At 39.3% G+C, this 10,919-nt stretch overlaps 1 pseudogene; it reads left to right on the forward strand.

Annotated features, from left to right (window-relative positions):
• Nucleotides 4,851-9,917, forward strand: ZNF73P (zinc finger protein 73, pseudogene; annotated as a pseudogene).
• The last annotated feature ends 1,002 nt before the right edge of the window (nt 9,918-10,919 follow it).

Below are 10,919 nucleotides of genomic sequence, written 5' to 3' on the forward strand. Positions count from 1 at the left end.
ATGTGAGTTGATGTATTTGTTAATTAGCTAGATTTGACCTTTTCACAATGTATGCATACTTTGTCCTTCACATAGGATTCCAGAACGCTACTGCATTGGTCTGAATGTTTGTCCCTCACATTTTACATTACAAAAAACTTGCAATGTCCTATGTCAATTAAAAATAAATATTAATAAAGTAATTTTAAAAAGACAAAAAGTAAAAGAAAAAAACAGACCACAACAGCAGTGTTCTGGAATCCTGTGTGGGTGACAAACATTCAGAAGCCAGTAGCAGTGTTCTGGGATCCCATGTGATGGACAAACATTCAGACATTCCCAGCAGTGTTCTGGAATCCTATGTGTGGGACAAACACCCAGACCCCAGCAGCAGTGTTCTGGAATCCTATGTGAGGTACAAACATTCAGACCCTGGAATCAGTGTTCTGGAATCCTGTGTGAGAGACAAACATTCAGATCATTGCATTAGTGTTCTGGAATCCTATGTGAGGGAAAAACTTTCAGACCACAGAAGCCATGCTCTAGAGTCCTATATGACGGACATTCACACCCTCATAGCAGTGTTCTGGAGTCTTATGTGAGGGACACGCATTCAGACCACATCAGGAGGGTTCTGGAATCCTATGTGAGGGACAAATAATCAGACCCTCATAGCAGTGTTCTGGAATCTTATGTGAGGGACAAACATTCAGACCCCAGCAGCAGTGCTCTGGAATCCTACGTGAGGGACAATCATCCAGATCATTGCGTTAGTGTTCTGGAATTCTAAGTGAGGGAAAAACATTCATAACCCAGCAGCAGTGTTTTGAAATGCTATGTGAGGGGCAAACATTCAGACCCCAGCAGCAGTGTTCTGAAATCCTACGTGAGGGAGAAACATTCAGATCATTGCATTAGTGTTCTGCAATCCTATGTGAGGGACTAACACTCAGACCCGGGGAGCAGTGTTCTGGAATCTTATGTGAGGGCAAACATTCAGACCCCAGCAGCAGTGTTCTGGAATCCTATGTGAGGGACAAACATTCAGACCATGGCAGCAGTGTTCTAGAATCCTATGTAACGGACAAACATTCATAACCTCGTAGCAGTGTTCTGGAATCCTATGTGAGGGACAGACTTTTAGACCCTCGCAGCAATGTTCTGGAAAGCTATGTGAGGGACAAACATTCAGACCCTCGCAGCAGTGTTCTGGAGATCTATGTGAGGGACAAACATTCAGACCTCAGCAGCAGTGTTCTGGAATCCTATGTGAGGGACAAACATTCAGATCATGACAGCAGTGTTCTGGAGTCCTATGTAACGGACAAATATTCAGAACCTCGTAGCAGTGATCTGGAATCCTATGTGAGGGACAAACTTTCAGACCCCAGCAGCAGTGTTATGGAATCTTATGTGAGGGACAAACATTCTGACCCTCTTATCAGTGTTCTGGTATTCTATGTGAGGGACAGACATTCAGACCCCAGCATCAGTGTTCTGGAATCCTGTGTGAGGGACAAACATTCAGACCCCAGGAGCAGTGTTCTGAAATCCTAGGTTAAGGATAAACATTCGGACCCCAGCATCAATGTTATGGAATCCTTTGTAAGGGACAAACATTCAGACCTTCATAGCAGTGTTCTGGAATCTTATGTGAGGGAGAAACATTCAGACCTCAGGAGCAGCGTTTTGGTACCATATGTGAGGGACAAACACGCAGGCCCCAGCAGCCGTGTTCTGGAATGCTATGATTGGGTTTATACTGTGAACCTCAGAAGTGTTCCTCTGTTTAATTAATTTTCCACCTTAGGTGGAACATGACTAGAATGGGCTACAGTGGAAGGGGTAATTTCCTTCCCCTATGTTATTTAGTCTCTGATTATACTAGAGCAGATTAGGCTGAAGTTAAGTAGTTTCTCCTGTGGACAAGCCTTGTTAAGAACTTGGTGCTCTGGCATATTTCAAACTGGTTTTCCTTTTTCCTTCTGAAAGATTGAAGCAGGAGTGGAGTTTCCTCAGGTATTTGTCACAGGAGCCTGGTGAAGCTCCATGAGACAATTTTACAGTATTGTTCCTCCTCCCCAACAGTAACTCTATCTCTTGTAGTTTTTACCACTTAGAGTTGTCCACGCGGATCCTCCAGCCGTTCACCAGTTACGGTTTGAGATTTTCTACTCCAGCACTGGTTCCAAGGTTGGTTTCAGTAGTGAGTCCATGTTCCTTTAAGGCATTAAGTCCTATATTCACTTCTTTGTCTCTGCAATCCTAGGGGTATTGGTTTGCCCTGTGTCCTCCCCTAAGTTTCAAATCTAGAAAGAATTATTGATTTTTTAGTCTCTTCAGCTTTTTATTTCTTGTTAAGATTAATTGTGTCATATTAATTTGTTGTTAAGCTTGTTATAAAAATTAATTATTGTAAAGTAATTATTGATTACTTCCAAGCTTCTTACATGCAGAAATAGGAATCTGGAATATGTTTCTAAAACTATCTTCTCAATGCCTATGTGCACAGTTAAAGGATTTTTTTCCACAGGAATATGATCAAGATGAATTATATTAGACTTCTGAATATTGAACTTTTCTTTATTCGTGGAATAAACTCAGAAAGTTCCTTCTTGGTCTTCACAGTCTATTTCTCTTCCAGTGTAAATGTTAGTGTTTCTGTAGATTCTGTACTTGTTTCTTTTATTCTTTCCTTCTCTTATTTTCATTTGGTCTGATGGATTCAGGTAGCATTGAAATTCTGGTAATTTCCAAATATTTATCTTTAGTTTGATCTCTCTTCTGAACCACTGGAGCTATATTCCCAATTGCCAGTTGAACATTCCCACATATGGAACGTCAGATGTTTCACACATGATATGTCCAGGTCTGTGTCACTTCTGGTTATCATATTCTTTTATTTTTTTTGCAAATTTCACTTCACAGCACCAGTACCAAACTAGCTGGATCAGGGCAGATAACTTGGAAACAAAACTCCCGTTTTTACCCACTGCACAGTAAATTGGTACCAAATCCTGTTTCTACATTTTTTTCCTTTTAAGAACTGCTTCCCTATTGTGTATTCTTACACTCCGTGTCCTCATGTACTGATGTAGGTGGTCATCTGTCTTCCTCTTTACTCCCTTCTGGCTTTCCCTTAAGCCCTTTCCCATTCTCTTTCTCAGGGATGGCTGTTAAAATGCCAATATGGTCATGTAACTTTTCTGTCCTTACTGGACCTCCTTATTTACACCTGTTTGTGAAGTGGCTGTGTTCACCCTGGGTGGATACAGAAATTTTTTGTCCCGTAGAAAGGAAATTTTGAAATGCCAGTGTATATGATTTTAATTAAGTATACTCACCCTTTTGTTTCTATGGGTTTTGCATCTGCAGATTCAGCCAACTTCAGATTGAAAATATTCCCACAAAAATAGATGGTTGTCTCTGTGCAGAGAATCTACAGAAATTTTTCTTGTCATTATTTCCTAAACAGTACAGTATAACAGCTATTTATGTAGCATTATATTGTCTTCAGTATTATATGTAATCTAAAGATTTTAAGTTCAGTCGTGCATGGCTTACTGATGGGATTACTTTCTGAGAAATGCAACCTTAGGTAATTTCATTGTTTTGTGAACATCATAGTGTTACAAAAACCTACATGGTATGTATATTTTTATTTATATGTTTTTGGTATATGGGTAACCAGATGGCTCAGAGCCATTATTGAATATCATTTTCTGCACTTCATCTGCAATGCCAATATCAGGTTTCCGTGTATGTTTCATCATCATCTTATGAGACTACTGTGATATACATGTTTCATCATTGACTGAAATGTTATTATGCAGCTCATGACTGTATACAGGAGTATGTGCATAAGTTATATGTAAATATGAGACTTGTTTATATAACAGAGTTATCCAATCTGTGGATTTTGGTATCTGGGGGTATCTTGGAATCAGTCCCCATGGATACTGAGGAAGTAATGTAATGTAAAAATGATAGGTGCATAAAAATTTTTGAAATTAAGTCAAATATTTAAATGCAGAATCACTGCATAATCAATTCCTTAAATATTGCATTTAGCTTTCATCACTGCCCAGGATCATTCATCTAGGCATGGTGCTGTCCAGAGTTCCATTAAAGTGATGTGTGTTCGCTTTGCCTTTGTCAGTAGACTTCTGATATTTTCTCATAGTCATGAGAATTCATGGTTCATGTGGAAGAGCCAATCAACTGATTTTTCAGTAAAGTCGAATCTCTTGATGCAAAATAAACAAAATTTATTTTCTCCTTCTCTCTTATCTTAGTCTGCATTGAACTTGTGTCTCAATGAGTTCACCTAAACATTATTCCCAGTATGTGTTTATACTTATATATTCATAACCAGATCATGAGCTCCTTTGAGGAGTAGAATTTTATTCCTCTTTTTTTTTGAGAGATAGGCTCTCTGTTGGCCAGGCTGGAGTGCAGTGGTGTGATCATCACTCACTGCACTGTCAAACTCTTGGATTTGAGCAATCCTTCAGCCTCAGCTTCCAGAGTAGCCAGGACTACAGGCATCCAGCATTATGCCTATATTTTTTTATTATTTTTGAAGAGAGAGCGTCTTGCATTTTGTTTATACTTTTATCCCTAGCAACAAGGATGTTTCTAGATCTATAAGGTGAACTTTGTAATATAATTTTATTAATTCATAAGTTATTACAGTGGAAGAATATTTCTACTGTGATTACTCCTTCTCCCACCATAAACAGTACAAAACAAACTACGTCTTATCTAAAATACATATAAGACACATGGACACACAAAAGAGTGAATTCCCAGATTCTTGTTCTTTTGACCCTGGGCTGATGCTTTGACTTGAGGAAATATGTGCCATTACAGGGGTTGGTGTCCTTTGAAGATGTGGCTCTGCACTTCACCTGGGAGGAGTGTCAGGACCTGGATGATGCTCAGAGGACCTTCTACAGGGACGTGATTGTGGAGACCTACAGCAGCCTGGTATCATTGGGTGAGTGAAACTTCCCAGTAACTCCCAGGAATGTGTATTGTTGTTGGTAAATATAGAAACCCTTTTAAGGTATAATAATATTTACTTGTAAGATTCTGGTTGATGAAAAATGTGTCATTATTCTAATGAAATGTTCAAATTGGCTCCTTCATTACACAGTCCCTGAAGCCCAGCTTTTGTCATTCTGAAAAGGATTTGACTTAGTGGTTTGACAAAGTATTCCCTTGTTTCTCGTTACCAGGGCATTGCATTACCAAACCTGAGATGATCTTCAAGCTAGAGCAAGGAGCAGAGACATGGATAGTAGAAGAAATACCAAACCTGAGACTTTCAGGTCAGTCAGTGAATACTGGGGTGGGAGGCCTGGAGGAGTAATGCCCAGCAGATTTTGGTAGTGTTATCTTGTTTTCACCACTTTTTTCCCTAGGTCTTCGACCTGAAGACTGTTGGTCTGCATTAAATGTCCATTATATCGTCCCCAGGGGTAACTGTCATGCATATATCCCAGTCTCTTATTTTTCTGAGTATCTTCTTCTATTTACCCCAAATCCAATCCCTGCCATCCTCTCTTTAGGCCTTTTTCTTTGCTATTTATTTTCTCTATTTCCCCCTTTTCCTCTATTCTGATGTAGTGTCTTAAAAAATTTTTTTAGACATTTATGCATTTATTTATCCTTTGAATGTATCTTAAGCAATTTTTGAGAATCAGTCATTATAACAATGATGATGAAAATAGTGTTTCTTTTTAAGCTGTAGCTTTATTCTTCTTGTTTTATTTTTTATTAAACAGATGGTTCTCACTCTGTTTCTCAGACTCAAGTGCAGTGGCATGATTATAGTTGACCGTAACGATGAACTCCTGGGATCAAGTGTTCCTCACAGCCTAGCCTCCCAAGTAGCTAGGACTACAGGTGTGTGCCACCACACCTGGCTAATTTTTTATTGTTTGTGGAGATGAGGTCTTGTTCTATTGCCCAGGCTGGTCTCGAACTTCTGGCCTTAATTGATCCTTTTAGACTCCCACCCACACACACACACACACAATAGTAGCTGAGTATGGTGACATGGGTTTGTAATCCCAGTTTTTATACTTGGGAGGCTGAGGTGGAAGGATTGCTTGAGCTCAGGAGCTTGAAGCTTCAGTGACCTATGATAGCAACACTGCACTCCAGCCTGGGTAACAGAGTAAGATCCTGTCTCAGAAAGAAATTATGAAGCTGAGGAGAACCCATCATAGGGGCCTGGATAGGGGTGGTGCTGGACTTGGGAGGAGAACCAGAAGATTCTGGGTCTCAAGTCCAAAGAAACCAATGATTTCCTGTTGAAGGGCTCAGATTTCTGTTTGAGAGTGGAGTTTGTAGTTACCATTTGAAGATGAGAAATGTACAGGAAACTTCATTTTTATATATAGCTGTGTGACATCTGAAACTCCAAAACACAAAATAAAACCCTTCAAAAATGGTGAATTATTAAGCAGGGGTGTGTGAGTGGAGAGGGACAGAGCTGTTGATCTCAGAAGGAACCAGAAATACACTTTTCAAAGATGACGGGCACAGACTGAGTTGCAGAACCAATCCTTCAGATCACTAGTGTGGTTTTTTGACTGGAGCTTCTTTGCCTATTATGGTTCTGGGAAGCAGGAGATGCCATGTTTAAGTAGGAATTTGCCAGGATCTGTTTATGTTTAACATGGGGAATAAGATATTTTCTGCTTGGAAAACCTCCAGACACATTTAACCATTCTCAGGGAGGAGTGAAAAGTTAACATATAGGCAAAATCCTGTCTACAAGCTACTTCCATGCTTAGGAGACAGAAAAATGGCCATCTCCTGTACCTGCCAGTTGCTGACCCAAGAAAAACTGGCTATCTTCAAAGAAGAATGATGAAAAAATAGCAACTATTAAAACAGCCACTATTGTTATATGAATAAATAGAAAAAAAGAGAGAAAACAAATGACAGATAATGAGCACTTATTAAAACCTATGAGTAGTAAGTAGATGCATATTATTACCAAATAATTCTTTATGAAATAAAAAAGAAAAGGAAAACTTCAAATTGCAAAGAAAAACTCAATTGAACATTAGAAAATATACTGATTTATTACATGATGTCAGAAGGAACAGGAACCATATGCATATAAAACCAATACCCATTATTAATTTTTATCAAATCTTACTCCACTGGGATAGGAAGTAATTTTTTTCACCTTTACACAAGCATTCTGTAAGACATGCTCCTGTGTGGTTCATGGATACGTTTTTCTCATTTCAGCTGTCCAAATCACTGATGACCTTATTGAAAGGAGCCATGAAAGTCATGATAGATTTTTCTGGCAAATTGTAATCACCAACAGCAACACATCAACTCAGGAGAGAGTTGAATTAGGAAAAACATTTAATTTTAACTCAAACCATGTTTTAAATCTGATTATAAATAATGGAAACAGTTCAGGAGTGAAGCCTGGGCAGTTTAATGTTTGCCAGAACGTGCTTTTCCCTATTAAGCCTGGTGAGACACAGTCTAGAGAGAAACCTCATGTCCCTGATATAACCAGGAGATCCCACAGACATCATGAACATCTTACTCAGCATCACAAGATTCAAACTCTGCTGCAGCCTTTTCAATGTAATGAACAAGGGAAAACCTTCAACATGGAGGCAATGTTCTTTATACATAAGAAGGTTCATATAGGACAGACCTTTGGTAAATATAATGAATATGAGAAAGCCTGTAATAACTTAGCTATTATTGTCCAAGGGATAACTCAGGTAAGACAGCCAACTTGCTGTAGAAAGTCTGACTTCAGTAAACATCAGCAAACACACACAGGAGAGAAACCCCATGAATGTGTTGAATGTGAGAAACCCTCCATTAGCAAATCAGACCTCATGATACAGCACAAGATGCCTACTGAGGAAAAACCTTATGCCTGTAACTGCTGTGAAAAATTGTTCAGCTATAAGTCCAGCCTCACTATCCATCAGAGAATTCACACAGGGGAAAAGCCCTATGGATGCAATGAATGTGGAAAAACCGTTCGCTGTAAGTCATTCCTCACTTTACATCAGAGAACTCACACTGGGGATAAGCCCTACAAATGTATTGAATGTGGAAAAACTTCACTGTAAATCACTTCTCACTTTACATCACAGAACTCACTCAGGGGAAAAGCCCTATCAGTGTAGTGAATGTGGAAAAACCTTTAGCCAGAAGTCATACCTCACAATACATCATAGAACTCACACCTGGCAAAAGCCCTATGCATGTGACCATTGTGAAAAAGCATTTAGCCATAAGTCAAAGCTTACTGTCCATCAGAGAACACACACAGGGGAAAAGCCCTATGAATATAATGAGTGTAGAAAACCCTTTATCAATAAGTCAAACCTCAGGATACATCAGAGAACTCACATTAGAAAAACCCTATGAATGCAATGAATGTGGGAAAACGTTTCACCAAAAGTCGTTCCTCACTGTCCATCAAAGGACTAACACAGGCAAAAAACCCTACGAATGCAATGAACGTGGGAAAACCTTTCACTGTAAGTCATTCCTCACTGTCCATCAGAAAACTCATACTGGGGAAAAACCATATGCATGTAACAAATGTGGAAAAACATATAGCCACAAGTCATAACTTACAGTACCTCACAGAACTCACACAGGGGAAAAACCCTATGAAAGTAATGAATGTGGAAAATCCTTTTACTGTAAGTTATAAGTCATTTCTAACTATACATCAGAGAACTCATGCTAGCAAAAAACCCTATGAATGTAATGAATGTGAGAAAACCTTTATCAATAAGTTAAACCTTGGGATACACAAGAGAACTCACACAGGGGAAAGACCCAATTAATGTGATGAATGTGGGAAAACCGTTCGTCAGAAGTCAAATCTCAGCACACATCAGGGAACTCACACAGGGGAGAAACCTTACATATGAAATGAATGTGGAAAAACCTTTCATCGCAAGTCATTCCTCACCGTACACCAGAGAACTCACACAGGGGAGAAACAGTATGGATGTAACCAATGTGGAAAAACTTTTTGTCAGAAATCATACCTTATTATACATCAGAGAACTCACACTGGGGAAAAGCCCTATGAATGTAATGAATGTGGAAAATCCTTTCATCAGAAGGCAAATCTTCGTAAGCATCCAGATATTCACACAGGGGAGAAACCCTATGAATGTAGCGAATGTGGAAAAACCTTCAGTCAGAAGTCAGTCCTCACTGTCCATCATAGAACCCATACTGGAGAAAAGCCTTACGAATGTAATGAGTGTGGGAAAACCTTTTGTCACAAGTCAAACCTCAATATGCATCAGGGAATTCACTCAGGAGAGAGAAACCCTGTGAATGTGATGAATGTAGGAAAACTTTTTACCATAAGGCAGTTCTCACCATACATCAGAGAATTCACACAGGTGAGAAGTCATTTGAATGTAAGAAAACCTTCTCCCAGGAGTCAAAACCCTTTGTACAGCACAGAACTCACACAGAGGAAAAACCCTTTAGATGTAATGAATGTAGGAAAATTTTCTCCCAGAAGTCAGGCCTCAGTATACATCAGAGAACACACACAGGAGAAAAACCTTATGAATGTAAGGAATGTGGGAAAACCTTTTGCCAGAAGTCACACCTCAGCAGGCATCAACAAACCCATATAGGAGAGAAATCTGATGTAGCTGAGGCAGGCTATGCATTCCCTCAAAATCACTTTTTTTCCCTTGAACACACAATGTACACCTCTCTGGCTACTATTATAGATTTCTCCATGCTCAGTCTAGGATAATATGGACAAAAATTGTGACCATTACTTCCTGGCCTACCAACAAGAAGGTCTTAACAATGCTGTAACAGAAGTGCTATCATGCAGGCTTTCTTGTTCCCATTTTTACAGCATACTTCGCACTTTAATGTCACAGATATGGCTGTTTTCCTAGAAGTTCATGTACCAACCTCTGCCAGCTTCAAACATTTCTTCTGAAACTTCCTCACCTCTGTTCTCCTCCATAGAATTGAAGAGAGTTAGGGCCTTTCTCAGGATTAGGCTTTGTCTCAGGGGAATGTTGGGGCTGGTTTGATCTTCTATGCAGACCACTCAGACTTTCTCTGTGTCAGTAAAAAGGCTGTTTTGTTTTTTAAAAATTATTCATGTGTTCACTGGAGTAGCACCTATAACTTCCTTCAAGAACTTTTTCTTTACATTCACAACTTGGGTAGCTCATGCAAGAAGCTTAGCTTTGGCCTGTCTTAGCTTCCAACATGCTTTCTTCACTAAGCTTGATAATTTGAAGTGACAGATGTGCACACTTCTTTTCATTTGAACACATGGTGGCCACTGCAGGGTGAAGTGGCCTAATTTCATTGTTGTATCTTGGGGAATGGGGGGCTGGAAGAGAGAAATGGAGATAGGGAAATGACTAGCCAATGAAGCAGTCAAACACAACACTTTTCCATCGTGTTTACTGTCTTCCATAGAGTTCCAGCACACTGAGACAATTCCAATAGTAACACCAGAAATCACTGATCACAGATCATCATAACGGATGTGATAACTAAAATGTTTGAAAGATTGTGGAGATTGCCAAAAGATGTGACACAGATGTGAAGTGAGCACACGGTGTTGGAAAAATGGTGCTGGTCAGACTTGCTGAACACTTTGTGGCCACAAATCTTTAATTTGTTAAAAAGGTGATGTTACCAAGCAAAATAAAGTGAAGCTCGATAAAGTGAGGTGTGCCTCTATTTTGATGGGCTTTAACCACTAGTCTTTTCATTGGTGCATTTAGACCATGACATTCAAAGTGATTATACAGTTGGGTTAATTTTGCCATATCATTTTCCATTCACTCCTATTGTTCTTTGTTCTTGCTTTGTCCTCCACTCTTTTTCTGCCTTTTATGGAGTTGATGATTTTATATGATTTTTAT

This window comes from Homo sapiens, chromosome 22, assembly GCF_000001405.40.
Source record: "Homo sapiens chromosome 22, GRCh38.p14 Primary Assembly".
In the NCBI taxonomy this organism is placed as follows: Eukaryota; Metazoa; Chordata; class Mammalia; order Primates; family Hominidae; genus Homo; species Homo sapiens.